Raw genomic sequence first — 27,527 nt, forward strand, 5'->3', positions numbered from 1 at the left:
GAGGGAGGAGGATCACCTGAGTTCGGGAGGTTGAGGTTGCAGTGAGCCAAGATTCTGCCGCTGCACTTGAGCCTGTGTGACAGAGTGAGACCCTGTCTCAAAAAAAGTAAAAAGAGAAAATGAAAAACTTGGTGTTGTAATGATTAGCACTGTGTATTTAGGACATTTGTAAAGTTTTCTTTTCACTGTAGATTCTTCTCTTTCTTTAAATTTTAAAAATCTGGTTTTGGCCTGAAATCCCAGCACTTTGGGAGGCACAGGCAAAAGGATCACTTGAGTCCAGGACACTTGAGACCAGCCTGGGCAATATAGCAAGACCCCATCTCTATTATAATAAGAATTTTTAAAATTTATTTTATTTATTTTTTATTTTTGTTGAGATCAAGTCCTGCTTTGTCACTCAGGCTGGAGTGCAGTGGCGCGACCTTGGCTTACTATACCTCCCGGGTTCAAGTGATTCTCCTGCCTCAGCCTCCCGAATAGCTGGGATGACAGGCTCACGCCACCACACCTGGCTAATTTTTATATTTTTGGTAGAGACAAGGTTTCACCATGTTGGCCATGCTGGTCTCAAACTCCTGACCTCAGGTGATCTACCCTGCTCAGCCTCCCAAAGTGCTGGGATTACAGGCGTGAGCTACCATGCTGAGGTTTTTTAAAAAACATTTTTTAAAATTATTGTTTTTGCAGAGGATAATTTTGAATTTTTAAAAATTCTAAACATGATTTCTGGGATTTTGTTTCTTTCTTATTTTGTTATTTTTTTTTATTTTAAATGAAATTAGACTTTTTAAATAGTTGATGGTAAACCTCAAACTTTGAATGAATTTTTGTGATGTTCAAGAGTAGGGTACCTGCCTTTGGTCGGTTCATTAAAGCTCTTTATTCTGTTTTTATAAAGCACAAATTGTTCTTTCTATAGAGTTAATAACTAATAGTTATAAGGCAGCATTTTTTTTCAGATTGTTCCCAGATAAAAGCAAGATAGTTTGGGGAAGGGAGTGTTCCATGAGCAAATACTGGTTTTTACGGCCTCTTGGTTTTGTCCCCCTAGATACCATTGAGAAAATTGGGCTGATGCCTGTAATCCTAACACTTTGGGAGCCTAAGGAAGGAGGATTGCTTGAACCCAGGAGTTCAAGACCAGCCTGGGCAACATTAATGAGATTCCATTTCCTTTTTTTTTTCTTTTTTCTTTTTTTGGACACAGAGTCTGACTGTGTCACCCAGGCTAGAGTGCAGTGGTACAGTCTTGGCTCACTGCAACCTCTGCCCGCCCCCGGGTTGAAGTGATTCTCGTGCCTCAGCCTCCTGAGGTATAATTCAGTTTAATTCAACTGAATTACTTAACGCAGTTACGTAAAGCGTAAATGCATTTAATTCCTGCGTTTAATTCAGTTTCCTGAACTTAGCCTTAGATCCCATTTTTTTCAAAATTTATTGCCCCAGGGAGCTAGTGGTCATTTTTCTAGGAGATGCATTTTTGGGAAGTGCAGTGCTAGACCATAATTTTTACCTAAAGTTTCTGCATTTAATGGAATTGGGTAAAAGGATCAAGTAAAACCTTTATCATATTCTCCTCAGTGTGTAGCTATCTCTGAGCATACATTAAACATTTAAGTACCAAAGTCTATCATTTTGAGCCCCTCTCCCCAATTTTTTGGTCTTAGCAAATTATCATTTTAAGTCACTACATGGTGAATTGTTTTTTAATTTCTCAGTACAGTAGTGTACACTAACTAAAACCTCTTTGTGGCCAGTTGTGGTGGCTCACACCTGTAATCCCAGTACTTTGGGATCCCGAAGCAGGTGGATTGCTTGAGCCTAGGAGTTCGAGACCAGCCTGGGAAACATAAGGTGATCCCTTTTCTACCAAAAATTTAAAAATTAGCAGGATGTGGTGGCTTGCGCCTGTAGTCCCACCTACTCGGAAGGCTGAGGTGGGAGGATCACTTGAACCTGGGGAGGTCGAGGCGTCCATAAGCTGTGATTGCACAACTGCACTTCAGCCTTAGTGACAAAGTGAGACTCTGTCTCAAAAACACAAACCGTTTTTGTGCTTTTTTTTTTTTTTTTTTTTCCAATATTGAGAGGTAGAGTTTTACTCTGTGAAAATCCCTCATAGGATTATGGCTCACTGCAGCCTGGAATGTCTGGGCTCAAGTAATCCTCTCATCTCAGCATCCTGAGTAGAATGATCCTCCTATCTCAGCCCCCTGAGTAGGTGGGACTACAGGTACCTGCCTCCATGTGTGGCTCATTTTTTTAAATCTTTGTAGAGATGAGATCTCACTTTGTTGCCCAGGTTGGTCTCAAACTCCTGGGCCCAAGTGATCCTCCTACTTCAGCCTCCCAAAGGGTTGGAATTACAGACATGAGCTGCCTCGTCCAGCCTACATTTTTTTCTTCAAAGACTAGACAAGCATTGTAATCAGAAGGGGAAGAGTAGAACAAGGAGTTCAGTCAGTAACTGAATAACCGCTTTAGATAACTCATTACCTTTGGACCAGGCTTTTTGTGCTTAAGTGTTGTTTTTGTCCATTTTCCTTTTTTTATTTTTTGAGATGGAGTCTCACTCTGTTGCCGAGGCTGGAGTGCAGTGGTGATCTCAGCTCACTGCAACCTCCGGCTCCCAGGTTTAAATGATTCTCCTGCCTCAGCCTCCTGAGTTGCTGGTACTACAGGCGTGTGTCACCATGCCCAGTTAATTTTTGTATTTTTAGTAGAGATGGGGTTTCACTATGTTGGCCAGCCTGGTCTCGAACTCTTGACCTCAGGTGATCCTCCCGCCTCGGTTTCCCAGAGTTCTGGGATTGCAAGCATAAGCCACCACCCCCAGCCAGTTTTAGTCTTTTTCAAAATTAGAAATTTTTCTTGACATGTAAAAATCCTATGTATTTATGGTATACATACACAATTACTTAATACCAAAGTTTTATAGATAATATATATAAAGTCTTGATGTATATATATGTCATGGAATGGCTAAATCAAGCTATTTAACGTGCATTACTTCACCTACTTATCTTTTGTGGTGAGAAGACTTAAAAGTCTGCTCTCTTCTCAATGTTTACATATATAATGTATTGTTATTAACTGTAGTCAACGTGATGTACAATGGGTATCTTGAACATTCCTCCTAACTGAAACCTTTGACCAATGTCTGCCCAATCCTGCCCTGGGCCCCACAGCCTCTTGTAGCCACCATTTTACTCTGTTTCTCTTAGTTTGACTTTCTTATACTCCAAATTTGAGATCATGCAATACTCTTTTTTCTGTGCCTGGCTTATTTCACTTAACATAATGTCCTTCAAGGTTCATACGTGGTGCAAATTACCGGATATTCTTCTTAAGGCTGAATAGTATTCCCTTGTGCATATATACCACATTTTCTTTATCCAGTTGTTCATTGATGGACACTTAGGTTGATTCCATATCTTGACTATTGTGAATAGTGCTGGAGTGAACATGGGGGTGCGGGTATCTCTTCTATGTACTGTTTTCATATTTTTTATATTCTTCTTAATCTTGATTTTTATTTTTTCCTTTTTGATTTCATTTTAGCTGCACTGGGTGTTCAACAGCCATCACTCCTTGGAGCATCTCCTACCATTTATACACAGCAAACTGCATTGGCAGCAGCAGGCCTTACCACACAAACTCCAGCAAACTATCAGTTAACACAAACTGCTGCATTGCAGCAACAAGCCGCAGCTGCAGCAGCTGCATTACAACAGGTAAATCTTTAATATGTCTTATTATTTGATGTAGAAAACTTTATGAAATCTGAGTAGCTAGCATTGCTACCTTCATTTTACAGGTAGTGAAGAATTATGTGTTTTTATTATGCTGATTTCTTTTTCTGGTGATGAATATTATATCTGACCAGCATATATAGGGAAGAATAGTTGGGCCAGGCATGGTGGCTCATGCCTGTAATGCCAGCATTTTAGGAGGCTGAGGTGGGAGGATCGTCTGAGCCCGGGAATTTGAGACCAGCCTGTGCAACGTGGTGAGACAGCGTCTGCAGAAAACACGAGAATTAGCCAGCATAGTGAAGGATGCATGTGGTCCCAGCTGCTTGGGAGGTTGAGATGGGAGGATTGCTTGAGCATTGGGAGGTTGAGGCTGCAGTGAACTGAGATTACACCACTGCACTCTGGGAGGCAGAGCAAAACCCTGTGTCCAAAAAAAAAAAAAAAAAAAAGTAGTTGAATAGTCAAAATTTTTAAGTCCTTAAATTGGGCAGTTCTTATACCTTAATTACATGAATAAAATTTACTTCTTTTTGGATCCCGGAGTATAAGTAATCACAACTTGATTTACTTTAGATGAAGTTTCACTGTTCCAGAAAATTTATCTTTATTATTATTATTTTTATTTTTTTTGTTTTTTTCTTTGAATCAATGCCACACCAGAACAGAAAGTTTATGTTTAGTGTAATTGTATGTATTTCTATGTATATCACTTTTTGAGAATGAATAAATTTAGTGTCTGTATTTTTCTTTGAAAAATTTTTTTTTAATCTTTCAGCAATATTCACAACCTCAGCAGGCCCTGTATAGTGTGCAACAACAGGTTAGTTTATATTTTCCGTGTTAAAAACTGATTTTAAAATAGCCATTTGCTCCAAAGTTCAATTGATAGAGAGTTTTATTTCTATCAGCTACCTTAACATGTGATACAAATTTTTTGGGAGGGGCTAGAGTAAATAGGTAGGAAAAAAGGAACGTCTCCAAGGGTGAGGGAGATAGGAGGGTGGTCCTAACAACCCAGATCCTTAGCCAGTCTTTGTCGCATGTTTCTAAGAAAGTATGAGGAGGCTGGGCGCAGTGGCTCATGCCTGTAATCCCAGCATACTGGGAAGCCGAGGCGGGCGGATCACTTGAGGTCGGGAGTTTGAGACCAGCCTGACCAACATGGAGAAACCCCATCTCTACTAAAAATACAAAATTAGCCGGGTGTGGTGGCGCAGGCCTGTAATCCCAGCTACGTGGGAGGCTGAGACAGGGAGGCTGAGGCAGGAGAATCGCTTGAACTCAGGAGGCGGAGGTTATGGTGAGCCGAGATCACACCACTGTACTCCAGCCTGGGCAACAAGAGCGAAACTCTGTCTCAAAAAAAAATAAAAAAGTATGCAGAGAATAATCTAGAAAGAACCACCCTTTGGACTGTTATGCTCCTGTCTGGAACGTTTGGGCCAGGTCTGCTGAACTAGACCACATGTGAAAATGAAAGCTCCTTTTGCTGATTGAAGCCTAAACCTTATAGGCTTTCAGCTTTTATTTTTTTTTCTTTATTTTTTATTTTTAAAAATTTTTGTTACATTAACTAACACCTACTACAGCCTTTATTTCTTTCAAGGAGTAGGACTCCTAGTCCCCTTCTTACTAATCAAATTGTGTATGGAAATCAAAATATTAAAATAGAACTGTTCAAAATGGGAGAAAGTTGGTGAGGCACAGTGGTTCACGCCTGTAATCCAAGCACTTTGGGAGGCCAAGGCGGGCGGATCACTTGAGGTCAGGAGTTTGATACCAACTTGGCCAATATGGTAAAACCCTCTCTCTACTAAAAATAGAAAAATTAGCTGGGCCTGGTGGTGCACAGCTGTAAAAAATTAAAATAAATAAAATGTGGGAGAAAGTCACACTTTGTAGTTCACACTTCTATTCCCTAGGCATGTTTAAACAATATGGAAACTCCTGATTTAGACTAAAAGCAAGTTTCATTGGACCCTTTTCCTTAGACACATTCTCTAGGAACTGTCAAGGAAAGAGAGTTTGCCTTGCTGAAATACAGATATGCTTTAGTCTAAGCATGTCCCTGGAAAGGATCTGGTCTCATTCTTTTTTGAGACTGAGTTTCATTTTTGTTGCCCAGGCTAGAGTGCAATGGTGCGATCTTGGCTCGCTGCAACCTCTGCCTCCCAGATTCAAGCAATTCTTCTGCCTCAGCCTCCTGAGTAGCTAGGATTACAGGTGCATGCCACTAGGCCCGCCTAATTTTTTCTATTTTTAGTAGAGACAGGGTTTCACCATGTTGGCCAAGCTGGTCTCGAACTCCTGACTTTGTGATCCACCCACCTTGGCCTCCCAAAGTGCTGGGATTACAGGCGTGAGGCACTGCGCCCAGCCTCATTCTTTTTTTTATGGCTGCAGAGGCTTCTCAATTCATAACTTCTTTGTCCCTAGATCCATGGCCCAGTTTAATCCTCGACTTAAGCCCCTTGAGGCTTCAGAAGCATTGCATTTTCCCAGAAGACCTCAGTATTTCACTAGTAATTGCTTTAAACTTCTTAAAAACTGACAAGAGACTGGTCTCAAATCAGATGTCTTGTTTTCAGAGTACCTTCCAACTTATTTTAGTGCTCTTATGAAATACATTTTTAAAGATGATAATGGGTGAGGCTGAACCTTGCAAAAATTGCAATACTCATTCTGCCTTTAAAAAATGGCACTACTCAACTGTTCTTAACTTACAAAAAAATAGTATTTTGATATGATCTAATCTCTAATACATGGTGACTCCAGGTAAACTGAGTGTTTTGAATTACAACCTCATACAGATTATTTTACCTTAGCCTAAGTCAAATTTGTATTTCAGAATTTTAAAATTTCTCCTTTCATACTAATTCCTTTTACTTTCTGGTAATAGTACACTTTGCTATTACAGAAAAACCATACATCAGAGTATGTGGTCCTTCATGGTCTCTGTGCCTATGGTAAATTGTCCATCAACAGTGCTTCTCATTTTATTTAGGGATATATCTATGAATTGGATTGATGACCAGTGATATTTTTTGATACAAGTAGCATATTGATGATATTGAGTCATTTCTGTAGCATGGTAATCTTCGCTTTTAGAGATTTGTGGGGTTTTACTGTGGATGCTATTCCTGGGAAATAATAACAATAACAAAAAAATCAGGTTCTGTATTTTTATTAATAAAAGTAGTTAAGTGCCTATCATTGAATGAGTTACTTACATATGAGGTCTGCAGTTTTTAGAAACAGTTGTAGGAAACTTTATACCTAGTTATCTCTGTTACTTTTCACATTTTTCTTAAGATAACTGGGCTGGGTGCAGTGGCTCATGTCTGCAATACTGTCACTTTGGGAGGCCAAGGCAAGAGGATTGCTTGAGCTCAGGAGTTCAAGACTACCCTGGGCAACATAGTGAGACCTCGTTTCTGTTTAAATACATAAATAAAAATAAGTAGAATAACTTTTATAGGATTATTTCTTTTATGAAGCATCTATGAAGCAACAATTCTGATTGACCCTTTTCTGTGTGTGTTTATTTTTCTGTTTTCAGTTACAGCAACCCCAGCAAACCCTCTTAACACAGGTTAGTTGGTATTACTTTATTTGTTTTGGATGTCTGAATGAACAGTAGACTAAAGCTTTATTAGTATTCTACTTTTTCTTTCAGGGTTTAGTTACTTGTTAGATTCACCTAATAATTTAGGAATATAATGCTAAATAAAGGTAGTAGTATGCTAGTTTATTTTTGATGGTTTCTCCTTGTAGGTTCAGCTGTGATACAGTTTGAATAAATATGAGGTTTTATTTTATTTATTTATTTATTTATTTATTTATTTATTTATTTATTTATTTTGAGGCAGAATCTCCCTCTGTTACCCAGGCTGGAGTGCAATGGCGCAGTCTCGGCTCACTGCAATCTCTGCCTCCTGGGTTCAAGCGATTCTCCTCTCTCAGCCTCCTGAGTAGCTGGGATTACAGGCGCCTGCCACCACGCCTGGCTGATTTTTGTATTTTTAGTAGAGATAGGGTTTCACCATGCTAGCCAAGCTGGTCTCGCCTAAGGTCCAGACCTTAGGTGATCTACCTGCCTTGGCCTCCCAAAGTGCTGGGATTACAGGTGCGAGCCACCATGCCCGGCTGAGGTTTTATTTTAAACTTAATACTGATTTTTCATTGATACTGATTTTTGTAGTCTTTTTCTTTTGGAAGATTTCTGCACGTTTTTTCCACTTTAGCAGGGAAAGTTATTGTGTGACATTATCTGCTTAATTTTTCAGCAACATTAAAAAGTTTTGAACTTTTCATATGTAGTGCTACCTTAGGCTTTACAGACTATTTATTGTATCTTTCACATACTCTTTTTCTATTTTTACAACCTTTTGAAAGTGTAAAAAGTGTTCTTAGCTTATAAACTACGTAAAAAGAGCCTATAGGCTGTCTTTGGCCCATGGGTCATAGTTTGCTGATCACTGGTTAATACGTAGAGTGAAATACTATGCAGCTGTTAAAGCACAACCTCTTTGTATACTGATATGGAATGATATTCCAGATAATCTGAGGTAGAAGTAAAGGTACAGTCTAGTATGTATTATATGCTCCCATTTATCTATATGCATATTTGAATAAAACATCTCTAGGAGGCTTTACACTAATAATTAGGACAGTGATTGCTTCATGTTTAGGGAACTGCATAGCTGAGGAGCAGGGATAGGAGAGAGGCTTTTCACAGTATAACATTTTGTACTGTATTTTTAGTCTTGAATCTCTTCCTTGTCTTTTAAAAATATACTTGAATTGAGAAATCAACCTGTTTTTATTAAAGAACTACAGTTGGTTAACACGTAACTCATAACTCCTATTTTCAATAATCAACAAAGTAGAATTTCCAAATTAAGTAGAAAAACAATAGAAGTTCTTTTGTTCAAATGCTATTTCCCTAAGTGTACCCATAACACATTACTAGTATCTTAAGATATTAAAGAAATTTCATGAGAAAATAGTTTTGTGGTCAAAGTTTGAGGAATGCTGAGTTCCTTTACTATACTTAGGACTTTCCTAAGCCTTTATTATGCCAGTATGGATATTGTATTAGTAAGAACACTCATCTAAGGGATCTTGATGAAATAGGCTAAAAATAATTTATAGTTTAATTTTAGACCTGACTCTCAAGATGTACATGTATATCTTCTAACATAATATGAAATTTTTAACATTCTGGGTTAGTTTTAAGTAGTCATATTCAGTTTTTAGATGATTTCAAATCATTACCTTAATTTGATGTTGATTTTGTTTTATAGCCAGCTGTTGCACTGCCTACAAGCCTTAGCCTGTCTACTCCTCAGCCAACAGCACAAATAACTGTATCATATCCAACACCAAGGTCCAGTCAACAGCAAACCCAGCCTCAGAAGCAGCGTGTTTTCACAGGGGTGGTTACAAAACTACATGATACGTTTGGATTTGTGGATGAAGATGTATTCTTTCAGCTTAGGTAAACTTAATGAGGTCTTGTCACATGGCTTCTTGCATTTACCACAAAACACCTGTTTAGTTGTGGCAGAAATTGTATGTAGCCCAGGCTGGACACAGTTGTGCAATCTCAAGTCGACTCACTGCAGCCTCTGCCTCCTGGGTTCAAGCAATTCTCTTGCCTCAGCCTTCGGAGTAGCTGGGATGACAGGCGTGCACCACCACACTCGGCTAATTTTTGTATCTTTATTAGAGAATGGGATTTCACCATGTCGGCCAGATTGGTCTTTAAACTCCTGACCTCAAGTGAGCCACCCGCCTCAGCTTCCCAAGGTGCTGGGATTACAGGCGTGAGACACTGCGCCTGGCCAGTGTAGCTATGATTTTCTTTCCTTTTTTATTTGAGACAGAGCCTCACTCGGTTGCCAAGGCTGGAGTGCAGTGGCGTGATCTTGGCTCATCACAACCTCCGCCTCCTGGGTTCAAGTGATTCTCCTGCCTCAGCCTCCCGAGTAGCTGGGACAACAGGCATGCGCCAGCACGCCTGGCTCATTTTTGTATTTTTAGTATGAGACAGAGTGTCACCATGTTGGGCAGGCTGGTCTTGATAGGATAATCATTCCCTTACTCTTCTTTCTTTCTTTTTCTTTTTCTTTTTTTTTTTTTTGAGACAGCGCCTCACTCTGTAACTCAGGCTGGAGTGCAGTGGTTCGATCTCAGCTCACGGCAACCTCCACCTCCCAGGTTCAAGCAATTCTCATGCCTCAGCCACCATGCCTGGCTAATTTTTGTATTTTTAGTAGAGACGGCCTTTCACTATATTGGCCAGGCTGGTCTCGAACTCCCGACCTCACGATCCACCTGCCTCGGCCTCCCAGGAAGTGCTGGGATTACAGGTGTGAGCCACTGTGTCTGGCCTTAGCTGTAATATTGTATTTTTATTTTTTTCTGAAGAAACTCAAGTGTGGAATTTTGTTTCTTTTTCTTTCCTACTTTCTTTTCTTTTTTCTTTTTTCAGACAGTCTCATTCTGTCACCCAGGCTAGAGTGCAGTGGCGTGATCTCACCTCACTGCAACCTCCACCTCCCGGGTTTAAGTGATTCTCTTGCCTCAGCCTCCCAAGTAGCAGGGACAACAGACGTGTGCCACCACACCCGGCTAATTTTTGTATTATTTATTTGTTTGTTTATTTATTTATTTATTTATTTATTTATTTACTTTGAGACAGAGTCTCGCTCTGTCACCCAGGCTGGAGTGCAGTGGTGCGATCTCAGTTCACTGCAGCCTCCGCCTCCCAAGTTCAAGTAGTTCCCTGCCTCAGGCTCCTAAGTAGCTAGGATTATAGGTGCCTGCCACCACGCCTGGGTAATTTTTTGTATTTTTAGTAGAGATGGGGTTTTACCATCTTGGCTAGGCTGGTTTTAAACTCCTGACCTCGTCATCCACCTGCCTCGGCCTCCTAAAGTGCTGGGATTACAGGCGTAAGCCACTATACCTGGCCAGTTTTTGTATTTTTTAGTAGAGACAGGGTTTCACCATGTTGGCCAGGCTGGTCTCGAACTCCTGACCTCAGGTGATCTGCACACCTCAGCCCTGCAAAGTGCTGGGATTATAGGCGTGAACCACTGCGCCTAGCCAGTTTAGCTATAATTTTGTATTTTTTCCTGAAGAAAGGCGGTTCTAACAATATTTCTGGGTAAACATAACTGTGAGTGGGGTGTTGAAATCTAATTTTGAAATCTAATCTTTGTTTGACGTGTCTAATGACGTAGCATAGATTTTAAAATTGTTTTTTAGCTAAGCGCAGTGGCTTGTCCTTGTAATCTCAGTTTCTTGGGAGTCCAAAGTAGGTGGATGGCTTGAGGCTAGGAGTTCCAGACCAGCCTGGGCAACATAATGGCAAGACCCCATCTCTAAGACGCAAAAATATTAACATTGAAAAAGTCAATAGGATCAAGTGATTGATGGACTGACATTCAAAATAATAATTTTTAAAAGTTCCTTTTCCATATTTAAATTAGTACTTTTATAGCTTTGTAGTGTTTGTAGGAAATACTGTACAACATTTTTCTGTAAAAGAGATTCCTGTTTTTTATCTTTTTTGCATTCATCATTTGAAAGCCCAAAGCAAATCTTAGTCTTGGGTTATAAAAGTAAAAAATGGATCAGGAGAGATAATATCAGGGAAATATGGGGTGGTAAATTATTAATTTCACTTTAAACTCATGTTTATAAGGGTGAAACACCCATTTTAAAATGAGTCTAGGAGGTATATCTACTTAACTCTTTTTTTTTTTTTTCTTTTTCTTTGAGACAGGGTCTTGCTTTATCACCCAGGCTGGAGTGCAGTGTTGCGATCATAGTGAACTGCAAAGTTGAACACCTGGACCCAGCTACCTCGTGTAGCTGGGCCATCAGGCGTGTACCACCACTTCTGGCTATTTAATTAAATTAATTAATTAATTAATTTTTTTTGAGACAGAGTTTCTCTCTTGTTGCCCAGGCAAGAGTGCAGTGGTGCAATCTTGGCTCACTGTAACCTCCGCCTTCTGGTTTCAAGTGATTCTCCTGCCTCAGTCTCCCAAGTAGCTGGGATTACAGGCGCCTGCCACCACACCCGGCTAATTTTTTTGTGTTTTTAGTAGAGACAGGGTTTCACCGTGTTGGTCAGGCTGGTCTCGAACTGCTGACCTCGTGATCCACCCATCTCAGCCTCCCAAAGTCCTGGGATTACAGGCATGAGCCGCCACGCCCGGCCCTTTTTGTTTTATTTTTTGAGATGGGGTCTCTTTTGCCCAGGCTGGGGTCCAGAAGTGCAGTCATAGCTCACTGCAGCCTCAAATTCCCAGGTTCAAGGGATCTTCCTGCTTCAGCCTCTGAAGTAGCTGGGACTCTAGGCCCATGCTACCACGTCCAGCTTTTTTTTTTTTTTGGAGACCGAGTTTCGCTCTTGTTGCCCAGGTTGGAGTGCAATGGCATGATCTCGGCTCACTGCAGCCTCTGCCTCCCGGGTTCAAACAATTCTCCTGCCTCAGCCTCCTGAGTAGCTGGGATTACAGGTGCCTACCACCACGCCTGGCTAATTTTTGTATGTTTAGTAGAGACGGGGTTTCACCATGTTGACCAGTCTGGTCTTGAACCTCTGACCTCAGGTGATCCACCTGCCTCAGCCTCCCAAAGTGCTGGGATTACAGGCGTGAGCCACAACAACGCCCGGCAACTATTTTTTTTTTTCCAGTTTCTTCAGATCTAGACATAAAGACTAATTTTTAAATTTTTTGTAGAAATGTGATCTCACAATGTTGCCCAAGCTGGTCTTGAACTGACTGCAAGTGATCGTTTGATTTTTAAAGTTATGGCGTTAGAGGCATGAACCACTGTACCTGGCCATCTACTTTTTCTTATTTTTTTATTTTTAAATTTTTTATTTATTTATTTATTTTGAGATGGAGTCTCGCTCTGTCGCCCAGGCTGGAGTGCAGTGGTGCAATATTGGCTCATCACAACCTCTGCCTCCCGGGTTCAAGTGATTCTCCTGCCTCAGCCTCTCAAGTAGCTGGGATCACAGGCTCCTGCCACCACGCCTGGCTAATTTTTGTATTTTCAGTAGGGATGGGGTTTCGCCATCTTGACCAGACTGGTCTTGAACTCCTGACCTCATGATCCACCCACCTCGGCCTCCCAAAGGGTTGGGATTACAGGCGTGAGCCACCGCGCCCAGCCTCTTTTTTTATTATTACTTTTTTTGAGATGGAGTCTCACTCTATCGCCCAGGCTGGAGTGCGGTGGTGCGATCTTGGCTCACTGCAACCTCCGCCTCTCGGGTACAGGCGATTCGCACCCGGCTAATTTTTGTATTTTTAGTAGAGATGGGGTTTCACCGCATTGGTCAGGCTGGTCTTGAACTCCTGACCATGTTAGCCAGGCTGGTGTTGAACTCCTTAAGTGATCTGCCCACCTTAGTCACCCAAAGTGCTGAGATTACAGGCGTGAGCTACTGCTGCCATCACCCAACTACTTTTTATTGTTATTTTATTTTATTTATTTATTTTTGTTTGAGACCGAGTCTCGTCTGTCACTCAGGCCAGGGCACCATCTCAGCTCACTGGAACCTCCACCACCTGGGTTCAAGCAATTCTCCTGCCTCAGCCTCCTGAGTATTTGGGATTACAGGTGTGCGCCACCACGCTCGGCTAATTTTTGTATTATTACTAGAGACAGGGTTTCACCATGTTGACCAGGCTGGTCTTGAACTCCTGACCTCAAGTGATTCGCCTGTCTCGGCCTCCCAAAGTGCTAGGATTACAGGCATGAACCACCACACCCAGCCCCATCTACTTTTTTTATTATTATTATTATTATACTTTAAGTTTTAGGGTACATGTGCACAATGTGCAGGTTAGTTACATATGTATACATGTGCTATGCTGGTGTGCTGCACACCCATCTACTTTTTAAAGAGCTTTCCAGGCTTCCATTTCTGATATAGTTTACTGTTTATTTTTTTTTGAGATATGGTTTACTTTAAAGTACTAACTATGTAAATCATTTTGGGGAGAAATCTATTTTAATTGTATTTATATTTAACTTTTTTTTTCTTTTTTTTTTTACAGTGCTGTCAAAGGGAAAACCCCCCAAGTAGGTGACAGAGTATTGGTTGAAGCTACTTATAATCCTAATATGCCTTTTAAATGGAATGCACAGAGAATTCAAACACTACCAAATCAGGTACAGAAAGTATTGAGTTAGGTATTATAGAAGCTTGGTAAATGAGTCTTCTAATTCACAAAGATTTTTTTTCTTATTCTTTCATTTTTTAATTGAAGAATCAGTCGCAAACCCAGCCATTACTGAAGACTCCTCCTGCTGTACTTCAGCCAATTGCACCACAGACAACATTTGGTGTTCAGACTCAGCCCCAGCCCCAGTCACTGCTGCAGGCACAGATTTCAGCAGCTTCTATTACACCACTATTGCAGACTCAACCACAGCCCTTATTACAGCAGCCTCAGCAAAAAGGTATCTTTGCTTTTGTTTCAGGCAAATGTATAACTTTTTAGTTGTTGATAATGTAACTATGCTTTTAATTACAAAAAAAGGCAGGGATTTCAAGAAAACTTGAAGCCTAAAAATCCTGAATAGGACACATCTACTTCCATAGCTATGTGGAAGTATTTTTTTTTCTCTTAGTGATAAGAAATTAAAAGATACACCTTTGTGGACTTAAATATCAAAACTATTAAATTACTTATTAAACCATACCACATCAAATGAATTTGCTGGGTTTTAAGTTTTTTTGCAAATTGATTGTTTGAAACTCCAGATGTGTTCTTTTTCGCTCTGTCGCCCAGGCTGGAGTGCAGTGGTGCAATCTGGGCTCACTGCAACCTCAGCCTCCCCAGTTCAAGCTCTTCTCCTGCCTCAGCCTCCCAAGTAGCTGGGACTACAGTCATGTGCCACCATGCCCGGCAAATTTTTGTATTTTTAGTAGATACAGGGTTTCACCACGTTGGCCAGGCTGGTCTCGAACTCCTGACTTCAAGTTATCCGCCCACTTCGGCCTCCCAAAGTACTGGGATTACAGGCTTGAGCCGCTGCACCCGGTCCAGACGTGTTCTTATAAAAACACTGTTTAAAATGATGCATAGGGCCAGGCATGGTGGCTCACACCGTAATCCCAGCACTTTTGGAAAAATACAAAAAAAACTGGGTCGTGGTGGCAGGCGCCTGTAACCTCAGCTACTCTGGAGGCTGAGACAGGAGAATCGCTTGAACCCAGGAGGCGGAGGTTGCAGTTAGCCCAGATCACGCCATCGCACTTCAGTCTGGGCGATAAGAGCAAAACTCTGTCTCAAAAAAAAGAGAAAAAGATGACAGGTAGCCTTAGCTTACAGAAGCCTACTTAATTAGCATTAAAAAATGTAATTGTGACATGTTCTTTTTTTTTTTTTTTTTTTTTGAGGCAGGGTTTCTCTCTATCGCCAAGGCTAGAGTGCAGTGGTGTAATCTTGGCTCACTGCAACCTCCGCCTCCCCGGCTCAAGTGATCCTACTGCCTCAGCTCCCCTGAGTAGCTGGGACTACAGGTGCGCGCCACCCCGCCAGCCTAATTTTTGTATCTTTTGTAGAGACAGGGTTTCACCATGATGCCCAGGCTGCATTTTCTTTTTTTCTTTCTTTTTTTGGAGACAAGGTATTGGTCTGTCACTGAGGCATAGGTGCAGTGGTATGATCTCAGCTCACTGCAGCCTCGACCTCCTGGCCTTAAGGAATCCTCCCTTCTCAGCCCCCCTCTAATTTTTGCACCTTTTTTTAGAGATAGGGTTTTGCCATGTTGCCAGAGCTGGTGTTGAACTCCTGGACTCAAGTAATCTGCCTATTTCGGCCTCCCAAAGTGCCGAGATTACTGGTGTGAGCCACCGCAGCCGGCCAGTACCTATTCTTTAAAAATATATATAAATTAGGCCAACTTTGAAAAAACAATTTTAGTCACTCTCAGTTATTTAACTTTGTTCCTCTAATTTTATCAGGTAATGCCTTCGAACTTTGTTTAGACACGCTAAACGTTTTTTTCTTTTATCTTTTAAAGCTGGTTTATTGCAGCCTCCTGTTCGTATAGTTTCACAGCCACAACCGGCACGACGATTAGATCCCCCATCCCGATTTTCAGGAAGAAATGACAGAGGGGATCAAGTGCCTAACAGAAAAGATGATCGAAGGTATATTTTCTAAAGTGTACTGTGGATGGTGGCAATGGTTGTACAACAATGGAAACATAGTTAATGCCACTGAACTATGCTTATAATATAAAATTTTAAAATGGTAAATTTTATGTTATGTCTATTTTACTACAATTTTTAAAAAGTTAAACAAATATACTGTGGATTCTTGCTTATATTACCTACTCTATTTACTTCATTGAAGAGCTTTTCCATAATATTAGAAATATTAGTAATTTTAGAAAAATTTGCTTTCAGTCGTGAGAGAGAGAGAGAAAGACGTAGATCGAGAGAAAGATCACCTCAGAGGAAACGTTCCCGGGAAAGATCTCCACGAAGAGAGCGAGAGCGATCACCTCGGAGAGTTCGACGTGTTGTTCCACGTTACACAGTTCAGTTTTCAAAGTTTTCTTTAGATTGGTAGGTTATTCCCCACCCATTGTTTTCTTGAGTTACTAATTTCATATAATTTGATAGAATATGTCACAGAGGTATTTTTCTTGCAAGATTGATTTCCCGACAGTTAGTGTTCTTCATATAAGGGCAGAAATGCAATTTGAAATAACTTAATTATCTACAATGCTGCATTATTTTTATACCCCCATGAAGGATATCGACTGGTATTGAAAAAGGCAGCCCCTCAAGGAAATTCCTCTGTCATAACGTTATTCCCCTAAAGTTAGAATCAGTTAAGATCTAGACTTACTGATAACTTGAAGATCATGTATAGTCCATTGTGTATGATAAAGCAATAATAGAGTAGTAAACTGATTAATTTCAAGTTTAGCCCTGGCAGTGTAGTATAATAGAAACATTGATATGCGTATATACTCACATACATAATGTATTCACATGTATAGTGTATGTGTATGTATATACATAAATATATTATTCACCCTTTGAATCAGAAGCCATGACAAATTACCAGAAATTTCTTTTTTCTTTTTTCTTTTTTTTTTTTTTTTTTTGAGATAGGGTCTTACTCTTTCACCCAGGTTGGAGTGCAGTGGCATGATCTTAGCTCACTGCAGCCTCTGCCTCTGCCTCCTGGGTTCAAGCTATTCTCCTGCCTCAGCCTCCCTAGTAGCTGGGATTACAGGTGCTCAGCACCACACCCAGCTAATTTTTGTATTTTTAGTAGGGACGGGGTTTCACCATGTTGTTGGCCAGGTTTGTTTCGAACTCCTAACCTCAAGTGATCCACCTGCCTGGCCCTCCCAAAGTGCTGGGATTACAGGTGTGAGCTACTGCTCCTGGCCAAGTTGCCAGGAATTTCTGAGGTTCACCTGCAAAACAAAGGTAATATTAACTAGCAAAATTATTGTGAGGTTTAGTTCATGTATCCAAAGGACTTAACCCAGTGTGTGGCAGTTGTATAGTCTCAGTAATTAATGGTGGGTTATGGTCGCAACTTAGGTAATAGATTAATAGATGGAAAAATAACAAATTGACAGTAAAATAAGAAAATCATTAAAAGCAGTGTTCAGGGCTGTTTAGCCTAAAAGCAAATAGCTATATGCAATGCAGTGGCCTAAGAGGATATTATTATGTTTAAACAGAGTGATAATTACCGTTCATAATACTTGCCTATCAGAGGTCAAAATTTCCAGATATTCAGTTCTAGATTTAGTAACCCAGTGAATTTTAGTCAAGCTACTTAATGCCAAGAAAATTTTGCTTGGTGACTTTGCTTAATTATGTTACATAGTTGGCGTTCATTTACTCTTACTTATGGTCAAATCAGCACCTACTTTTTTTTTTGTTTTTGTTTTTTTTTTTGAGATGGAGTTTCGCTCTTGTTCCCCAGGCTGGAGAGCAATGGCGCGATCTTGGCTCCCTGCAACCTCTGCCTCCCAGGTTCAAGCAATTCTCCTCCCTCAGCCTCCCGAGTAGCTGGGATTACAGGAATGCGCCACCACACCTGGCTAATTTTGTATTTTTAGTAGAAACAGGGTTTCACCATGTTGGCCAGGCTAATCTCAAACTCCTTACCTCAGGTGATCCAGTCGCCTCAGCCTCCCAAAGTGCTGGGATTACAGGTGTGAGCCACCATGCCTGGCCCAGCAACTACTCTTAACTTTACACTAGTTTTCTTCTTATAGCTGCTTACTCTTATACTTAAAAATCTGTAGTCTGCATATTTCCGAGAAACCAGTCGAAACCAAAACCACTTTTCCCAGCCTCAAAGATATTAAATAGAGGAGCTCTGATTTTAACCCATCTGTTCTCAATATTGAATGCTCTTTTGGGAAGAGTTGATGCATAGGATATGAAATTGAACAGCTATTTAGCTTCTTCTCAATTAGACCTTCAGGGGCCAGGTGCAGTGGCTGACGCCTGTAATCCCAGCACTTCAGGAGGCTGAGGCGGACAGATCACTTGAGGTCAGGAGTTCAAGGCCAGCCTGGCCAACATGGTGAAACTCCATCTCTACTAAAAAATAAAAAAATTAGCTGGGCGTGGTAGTGTGCGCCTGTAATCCCAGTTTCTTGGGAGGCTGAGGCAGGAGAATCGCTTGAACCCGGGAGGCAGAGATTGCAGTGTGCCGAGATTGCACCACTGCACTCCAGCCTGGGAGACAGAGGGAGACTGTCTCAAAAAATAAAAAACTAATAATAATAAATTACACCTTCACAGTTTAGTTTTTTGTTTTTGTTTTTTTTTTTTTTGAGATGGAGTCTTGCTCTGTCGCCCAGGCTGGAGTGCAGTGGCTCAATCTCGGCCCACTGCAAGCTTTGCCTCCCGGGTTCACGCCATTCTCCTGCCTCAGCCTCCCGAGTAGCTGGGACTACAGGCGCCCGCTACCACGCCCAGCTAATTTTTTTTGTATTTTTAGTAGAGACAGGGTTTCGCCGTGTTAGCCAGGATGGTCTCCATCTCCTGACCTCATGATCCGCCCACCTCGGCCTCCCAAAGTGCTGGGACTACAGGCGTGAGCCACCGCACCCGGCCTCACAGTTTAGTTTTACCACTTTGAAGTAAATTCCGAGAACATTAAATGGATCTCTTGCAAGTAAAAATGATTTTAAAGTTTCCATACTTCTCATTTGTAGTTGTGTAAATCAAGATTTTCTTATACTAATATGATTATAAGAAACTTCGTGCCCATGAAATGATTTATTTGTACTTATATCTTTTGTTTTATTATAAATTTTACTCCTGTGGGGTAAAACATGACTTCATAAATTCTGGTGATACGGAATTGGGAAACAATTATACATACTTGCTTTTTGTAACACTTCCTTAAAAACAAAACTCAGATACTTGTTTCATGTTTTTATTATTTTGACAGCAGAATCATATCCAAATAAAGTATAATTATAGGCCTGGCACTGGTGGCTCATGCCTGTAATCCAGCACTTTAGGAGGCTGAGGTGGAAGGATCACTTGAGGCCAGGAGTTTGAGACCAGCCTAGGCATATAGTGAGACCTCACCTCTACAAAAAGTAGAAGTTAGCCACATGTGGTAGTGCACCCGTAGTCCTAGCTATAATACTTAGAAGCTGACATGGAAGGATTGCTTGAGCCTAGGAATTCAGGTTATAGCAAGCTGTGAGTATGCCACACTGCACTCTGGCCTGGGCGACAGAGCAAGATTCTGCCTGTAGATAGGATAGAATAGATAGATAGATAGATAGATAGATAGATAGATAGATAGATAGATAGATAGATAGATTCTGTCTGTAGATAGAATAGATAGATAAATAGATGAATAGGTAGGCAGGTAATAGTCTGTTAACTGACAGGTTTATTACTCTGTATTTATTTTTATACTTCAAATAAAGACATCTCTGCATGTAGATTACTTCATCTTTCATACTTCTGCTTTTAGTTGTCTTTTCATCTTACATTATACTTTTAACAGACATCTCTTAGCCTTTTGCCAGATTGACCTTTCAGTTCCTCTCTTTTAAAAGCTCTACTTCTTAGGAAAAAGGAAATGATCCTTTAAAAAATCAGTGTGAGATTTAAAAGGCAAGAAATTTATCCCCTCTATACATAATAATCAGGTATGGATCTTAATCATTCACAGAGAAAGGGTTGTGGAGGTGCAGATAATCCAAGGAACATATGAATTTTGCTTTTTGTGGATTTTTGTATTTAATTTTGAATGTAAGTATGCTTGATCTAGGAACTTACTATAGTAAAATAAAAGTTATAATTTTTCTACACTCAAAAACCTGATTGAGGGGCGTACAGAAATACTAATACTCTCATTGCTGTTTTGTATCTATTCAACATGAACCATAATTTTCAAGTAATCCACAGTTCCAACTGAGGAAAACCTGCTTTTGTACAGATCTTTTCTGGAGCTGAGATTCAAGTTATTTCAAAGCGTCTTCTGTAACAAAAAGTATCAAAATAAGGATAACACTGAGAATACTATTTATTCAAAGCTTTGCGTATATAAATTTGAACGTAATATTTTCATATGTCTCTATGCAAATCTATAGCTCATTAGTAACTGACTTTGTCTTTTTTCAGCTTACTTTTTACTATATCCAGTTATATTTGCTACAGAATTAAATGTTTGTGTAACCTTTTTTATTAAGGCTATTTATTCACTACTTATGTCTGTTTTTCAGTCCCAGTTGTGACATGATGGAACTAAGGCGCCGTTATCAAAATTTGTATATACCTAGTGACTTTTTTGATGCTCAATTTACATGGGTGGATGCTTTCCCTTTGTCAAGACCATTTCAGCTGGGAAATTACTGCAATTTTTATGTAATGCACAGAGAAGTAGAGTCCTTAGAAAAAAATATGGCCATTCTTGATCCACCAGATGCTGACCACTTATACAGTGCAAAGGTTTGTATTCAGCTGTGATATGCAGCTTAAATTTCTTAGCAGTTATTCATAATAAAAGGGTATGTAGAATTATCCTTCAGAAAGTGTTTGTTAGGTAGACCCGAATACCTGTTTTCTTCTTAACTGCTTGATCCTATTTTGGTTACATAATTTAATTTAAGCTCTCTTTGCCTCATCTCTTGAGCTGTAAAACTAGTTATTCTAACATTTTAAACCTTATTAAAAATGTGAAGATAAAGTTGATATTAATGAGATATTTGGAATGTTGTATGACTTCTGGTAGCCTCAGATAAAACTTAATGTTAGATGAATGCACTAAATGTCAATCTTAAGGGAAACATTCAGTATATTGTGTATAGTCTATAGTTTTGTTTAAAGCATTGTGTGACTGAAAAAGCATCCCTTCAAAAGTTAAAACTAAGTAATTATAAGGTATCTAGGCCTGGCGTGGTGGCTCACGCCTGTAATCCCAGCACTTTGGGAGGCTGAGGTATCTAATACTGTTTCTGCTATAGTATTACTTCCTATTTTTATTTAAATTTCAGACATCTTATATTTAAAGATAATTAGTAGTGCTTCTCATTTTTTCACATTACTTTAGACTTTTGACAGGATTGAATTATTTGACTATAATAGGTAATGCTGATGGCTAGCCCTAGTATGGAAGATTTATATCATAAGTCATGTGCTCTTGCTGAGGACCCACAAGAACTTCGAGATGGATTCCAACATCCTGCTAGACTTGTTAAGGTAAAAGGACACATTTGTTTTAACTTTAGATGTATTCACTTTGCTTAGCTGTAACTTTGTACACATAAAATCTAAAGCCCTACATTTTAATATTTGTTGATTAATGAGTAATTTTAGTATTAAGGCACCCAGAATTTAATGATGTAGATGTTTTTCTCATTGCAGATTACAACTATATCTTATTTGTACGCTACTAGTTCAACAGTCATTTTGATGTTTTATATTTGTAACATAGTAGAATATTAGTGGTAATAGGATTCAGAGTGTCTTTGGATGTTGTTGAAGTTTGAATTATAGCTTGTTTCTTTAAAAGAACTCTATCTGAAGAAATATTTTAAAAGGATGAGTTATGATGTGTGTAAATCCTATTCCATTGCTGAAATGCAGTGTGGAACACAATGAACTGAACTCTTCCTTGACTGACAGATACCAGAGGTAGTAAAAATGATATTGGAAAGGTTTGTACCTTTCCTTCTCAAGTATCTTATTGGTAATTTGACAGGGTGCGTAATATATGTAAATGATTCTTTGTTTTGAATTAGTTTTTAGTGGGCATGAAAGGCAAGGATGAAGCTATGGCCATTGGAGGCCACTGGTCTCCTTCGTTGGATGGACCAGACCCAGAAAAAGATCCCTCTGTGTTGATTAAGACTGCTATTCGTTGTTGTAAGGCTCTGACAGGCATTGATCTAAGTGTGTGCACACAATGGTAAGTACTAATTCATTTCTTGATTAGAAGTGTTTTACTGATAGTTTATGTAGTTGTTCTTATCGATCAGCCTTTTCCCCCCGGCTTATTTTAGCAACCCTGGTCAATGCAGGTAATCTCAAAGGAAAATCCCCATTTGTAGCTAAAGTTTATTTGGTGCCAAAATGTTTTGGGGGAAAAGGGATTAAGAACTAATCAAAATAAACTGAAAATTTAAATGTTTTGTTATGTTGTACTTTGGAAGTTGGATGTATGTTGAAAATACTTTTCATTTCATGCATAGCTGGAGAAGATCGTCAAGAGAGAACTTCATTTCATTATAATTCTTTTGTTATAAAATGATGTAGTTGCGATTATTTTTGTTCAGCCATATTTTCTCTTGAGGCTTATTTGTCCTGTGTATTTTAGTGTATCTCTTGTGACTTAATTTGAGAATATTCTTTTTTAGCACATGAAATCTGAACAGCTATCCAGCTTCTTCAGGTATTCTCTAAAATGCGGGTAGCTCTGTAATCAAACTTGAAAATGCCTTGGGGGAACATATTCTTCCTTTAACTTATTAAATATTGTACAAATGTACCAAAAGAGGAACTATGGCTTCTATAATTTTTTTTTCTTTAGACCAACCTCAAGTTCTTGCAGCAAAATTTCTTTACTTGATGTGCTACAAGTGAACTAGGGTCTTTAAAATGTATTTTAGAATTTTTTTTCCAACATGCTTCTTCCCTTGCAACAGGTACCGTTTTGCAGAGATTCGCTACCATCGCCCTGAGGAGACCCACAAGGGGCGTACAGTTCCAGCTCATGTGGAGACAGTGGTTTTATTTTTCCCGGATGTTTGGCATTGCCTTCCCACCCGCTCAGAGTGGGAAACCCTCTCCCGAGGATACAAGCAGCAGCTGGTCGAGAAGCTTCAGGGTGAACGCAAGGAGGCTGATGGAGAACAGGCACTGAACGCTAATCCCTTTTTCTATTTCCGCTTCTCACAGGCACAGGAACACAGGCACAAATGCACACCACACACTACATAATAAACACACATGGAGGAACATAACTGGTAACAGCGACTGGTAATCCAGCTTTCAGCAGTATAGTTGTATGTTCTTTTCTCTTAAAATTTCTGTCTTATTATCCTAACTTTAAGAGTGCTGAGACCTCAAAGGAAAATAAGTTGTGCTTAAATTGCACAGAATTTTGTTTTTATCATAGGTCTAGTTGCTGGAATCTGGGACCAGTTGTTGAACAAGATTCAGTATTAAGCCATTTTAAACATTTTGCCATTTTCTAAAATTTAAAAAATTTTCTTTTTCATGGTCATCAGTTCTAGTCATGGATATTTGAAATTGGACAACCACAAGTCTGAGAGATTTGAAATTTCAGGCTATGTGGCAACGTCTTTGGTACATTTCAAAGGTCTGACTAAATCAGTCTTTGGGTGGCTTGAAAATTGAGGCAAGATCACACACTGTGTGGTTTGTGGAGACCGGCAGTGTTTGTGCATCCCTGATATCCTTTGTGTTGTAATTTATCACCCTTTTGTGTTTCACAGATCTGGCTTTGATTGGCTGATGAGTGTCTTTGTGATCAGTTAAAAGTGGTAGAATGTATGTACGTGGACTTGCCTAAATAATAACTTTAGGAGAAGACAATCTGAAACATTTGTGACCTTGCACAGATCAGCAACAGACTTTTAAAAATAAATTATTTTTATTTTAAGGTTTCATAATAGTAATTACATTCTTAACTTTGTATGTCAGGATGAAGAAGAGAAGGATGATGGTGAAGCTAAAGAAATTTCTACACCTACCCATTGGTCTAAACTTGATCCAAAGACAATGAAGGTAACTTTGATAAGGATGGATTTTATTTATTTTTTTCAATTAAAAAGTTCTTTCTGAGATGGAGTCTCGCTCTGTCGCCCAGGCTGGAGTGTAGTGGCGCGATCTCGGCTCACTTCAGCCTCTGCCTCCTGGGTTCAGTAGATTCTCTTGCCTCAGCCTCCTGAGTAGCTGGGATTACAGGCACCCTGCCACCACGCCTGGCTAATTTTTCTAGTTTTAGTAGAGACAAGGTTTCAGAATGTTGGCCAGTTTGGTCTCGAACTCCTGACATCAGGTGATCCACCTGCCTCAGTCTCCCAAAGTGCTGGGATTACAGGCATGAGCTGCCGTGCCTGGCCAATTGTATTTATATACATATAAATTAAAAGGCAATTTTATAAATCAGTACAGCCAATATCTGTTGAATGCCTATAATATATGAGGGTCTATAGTGTAACTATAGTAACTTTGAGAACTAAGAAGGTAGGATTTCTGCACTAAGTAACTTCAAGGGGATGGGACTATAGGCGCCTGCCACCACGCCCGGCTAATTGTTTTGTATTTTTAGTAGAGATCGGGTTTCACCGTGTTAGCCATTATGGTCTCAATCTCCTGACCTCGTGATTCACCCGCCTTGGCATCCCAAAGTGCTGGGATTACAGGTGTGAGCCACCGTGCCTGGCCGTAATTTGGTTTTTAAAATAGAATATTTTTTTGAGACAGAGTCTTGCTGTGTTTCCCAGACTGGAGTGCAGTGGAATGATCTTGGCTCACTGCAGCTTTGGCCTCCTGGGTTCAAATGATTCTTGTGCCTCAGCCTCTCGAATAGCTTGGATTACAGGCACGTACAACCATGCCAGGCTAATTTCTGTATTTTTAGTAGAGATGGGATTTTGCCATATTGGTCAGGCCGGTCTCACACTCCTGGCCTCAAGCGATCTATCCACCCCCGCCTCCCAGAGTGTTAGGATTACAGGCGTGAGCTACTGCGCCCAGCCTAAAATATATTTAAAATTAAAACATAGATTGATACACATCTAAACTGGGAAGAGGCCAGAAGCGGTGGCTCACTCCTGTAGTCGCAGCACTTTGAGAGGCATAGATGGGCAGATCGCTTGAGTCCAGGAGTTTGAGACCATCCTGGGCAGTGTGTGTGTGTGTGTGTGTGTGTGTGTGTGTGTGTGTGTGTATACAGTGTATACATATATATATGTACACACGTTTGTATATATGTACACACACATATATATACGTGTGTGTATATATATATATATGTATATATACACACGTGTATATATATATATATGTATATATACACACGTGTATATATATATTTTTTTTTTTGAGACAGAGTCTTGCTTTGTTGCCCAGACTGGAGTGCAGTGGCACGATCTTAACCTATGCCTCCCGGGTTCAAGAGATTCTCGTGCCTCAGCCTCCCGAGTAGCTGGGACTACAGGCCTGTGCCACCATGCCTGACTAATTTTTGTATGTTTAGTAGAGATGGGGTTTCACCATATTGGCCAGGCTGGTCTGAACTCCTGACCTCAATTGATCCACCCACCTCAGCCTCCCAAAGTGCTGGGATTACAGATGTGATCCTCCTCCCCTGGCCCGCTGTCATTCATAACATTGTTAGGTGTTTTATTCCATTTGTATTTTTCTGGGTACAAGTTTTGTGATTGGCTGATTGCTTATTGTATATAAAAGTTACGATCACTTCAACCCAAGGATACTGAATAGAAAAAACAACAACCAACAACCATAAAGTAATAAGCCAGGCAAGGTAGCTCATGCCTGTGATCCCAGCACTTCTGGAGGCTGAAGCAGGAGGATTACTTCAGTCTAGGAGTTTGAGATCAGCTTCTGCAACATAGTGAGGCCCTGTCTCTACAAAAAGTTTAAAAAATTATTTGGGCATAGTGGCACACGCCTGTAGTCCCAGCTACTTGGGAAGCTGAGGTGGGAGGATTGCTTGAGCCTGGAAGCTGGAGCCTGCAGTGAACTATCATTGTGCCACTGTACTCCAGCCTAGGCAACAAAATGAAATCCTGTCTAAAAATAAATACATATGTGTGTGTAAGGTTGCAGCTGGGCACAATGCTTTATGCGTGTAATCCTAGCACTTTTGGAGGCCCAGATGGGCAGATTGCTATAGCCCAGTAGTTCAAGATCAGCCCTGGCAACATACTGAGACTCTCTACCAAAAAAAAAAAAATTAGCTGAGCATGGTGATGCATGCCTATAGTCCTAGCTACTCAGGAGCCTGAGGTGGGAGGATCACTTGAACTTGGAAGGTCAATGCTGCCGCGGTGAGCCGTGAGCTGTGAGCCATGAGCCATGGTTGTGCCACTCCAGCCTGGGTGACAGAGCAAGACCCTGCCTCAAAAAAAAAAGAAAAATGACTCATCCTGTTGCGTTAACATTAATTTTATCCATGTAATTATTTTTAAATATTTTATACTATTCAATTAAATTGATATACAGATATTTCTTAGGTGGTATTATTATTATTTTTAAAGGGACAGAGTGCAGTGGTGTGATGAGAGTTCACTGTAGCTTCAAACTCCTAGGCTCAAGTGGTCCTCTGACCTAAGCCTCTCAAGTAGCTTGGGCTAAAGACATGTTCCACCATGCCTGGCTAATTTTTTTTTCTAAAGAGATGGGGTTTTGCTATGTTCCCCATGCTGATTTTAAACTCCTGGCCTCAAGCGATCCTTCCACCTTGGACTCCAAAGGTGCTAGGATTACAGGCACGAGCCACCATTCCCTGCTGGTGTTACTCCTCTGTTGGACATTTGTTTATTTACTTAACTTTTAGAGACAAGGTCTCTGTCGCCGCGGCTGGAGTGCAGTGCATAGTTCACTGGAACCTTAAACTCCTGGGCTCAAGCAGTCTTCCCATCTCAGCCTCCCAAGTGGTTAGGACTACAGGCATTCACCACCACACCTGGCTAATTTATGAGACATTTAGACTCTTCCCTTTTTTGGAGGGAGGAAATAAGTAAATCTATAGTTTTGTGGGGTTTTTTCCCCCTTCTATTTAGGATGTTTCCTTAGGGTAGACAGCCAGAAATTAGAACTTCTGGGTCAAAGAACATTTAAAAAAATTTTTATGCATGTTAAAATGTTTTATTTTCTAAAAATATTCTATCATTTTGCATTTTCACAAGTGTTTTGTGAGCTGTACAAATGTTCTTTTCACCACATTTTTAAAAAGTCACACGAAAGGCTGGGCGTGGTGGCTCACGCCTGTAATCCCAGCACTTTGGGAGGCCAAGGCAGGCTGATCACGAGGTCTGGAGTTCGAGACCAGCCTGACCAACATGGTGAAACCCCGTCTCTACAAGTACAAAAATTAGTTGGATGTGATTGTGCGCATCTGTAATCCCAGCTACTTGGGGGGCTGAGACAGGAGAATTGCTTGAACCTGGGAGGCAGAGCTTGTGGTAAGCCGAGATCACGCCACTGCACTCCAGCCT

The 27,527-nt window shown here is 40.3% G+C and overlaps 1 protein-coding gene and 1 non-coding gene across 5 annotated transcripts in view, besides 1 other annotated feature; both read left to right on the forward strand.

Moving 5' to 3' along the window:
* CCAR1 (cell division cycle and apoptosis regulator 1) overlaps nt 1–27,527 on the forward strand; it is a 71,139-nt gene that overhangs the window by 12,073 nt on the left and 31,539 nt on the right. For 2 of the 4 annotated variants that reach the window (NM_001282959.2, NM_001282960.2), the window contains exons 3-14: nt 3,565–3,737; nt 7,318–7,350; nt 9,065–9,258; nt 13,850–13,964; nt 14,063–14,255; nt 15,825–15,954; nt 16,213–16,374; nt 20,541–20,766; nt 21,403–21,516; nt 22,059–22,225; nt 22,962–23,172; nt 23,983–24,066. In NM_001282959.2, coding sequence (NP_001269888.1) covers nt 3,565–3,737; nt 7,318–7,350; nt 9,065–9,258; nt 13,850–13,964; nt 14,063–14,255; nt 15,825–15,954; nt 16,213–16,374; nt 20,541–20,766; nt 21,403–21,516; nt 22,059–22,225; nt 22,962–23,172; nt 23,983–24,066 — 1,802 coding nt within the window. Of the gene's footprint in view, nt 1–3,564; nt 3,738–4,533; nt 4,579–7,317; nt 7,351–9,064; nt 9,259–13,849; nt 13,965–14,062; nt 14,256–15,824; nt 15,955–16,212; nt 16,375–20,540; nt 20,767–21,402; nt 21,517–22,058; nt 22,226–22,961; nt 23,173–23,982; nt 24,067–27,527 lie in introns of all 4 variants that reach the window. The other 2 variants (NM_018237.4, NR_104262.2) reach the window with 2 other exon arrangements.
* Nucleotides 8,757–8,926: an enhancer, noted in NCBI's record as "experimental_16857 CRE fragment used in MPRA reporter constructs". NCBI's record gives its function as "activates a minimal promoter by MPRAs in K562 erythroleukemia cells, with activity observed for both the introgressed and non-introgressed 10:70501910 variant alleles {active_cell/tissue: K562}" and the evidence as "EXISTENCE:reporter gene assay evidence [ECO:0000049][PMID:34662402]".
* SNORD98 (small nucleolar RNA, C/D box 98) lies at nt 21,861–21,927 on the forward strand. Its single transcript, NR_003076.1, has one exon. It is a non-coding gene; the product is annotated as a small nucleolar RNA, C/D box 98 (small nucleolar RNA).

The sequence above is a fragment of the Homo sapiens genome, chromosome 10 (genome assembly GCF_000001405.40).
Source record: "Homo sapiens chromosome 10, GRCh38.p14 Primary Assembly".
NCBI lineage: Eukaryota > Metazoa > Chordata > Mammalia > Primates > Hominidae > Homo > Homo sapiens.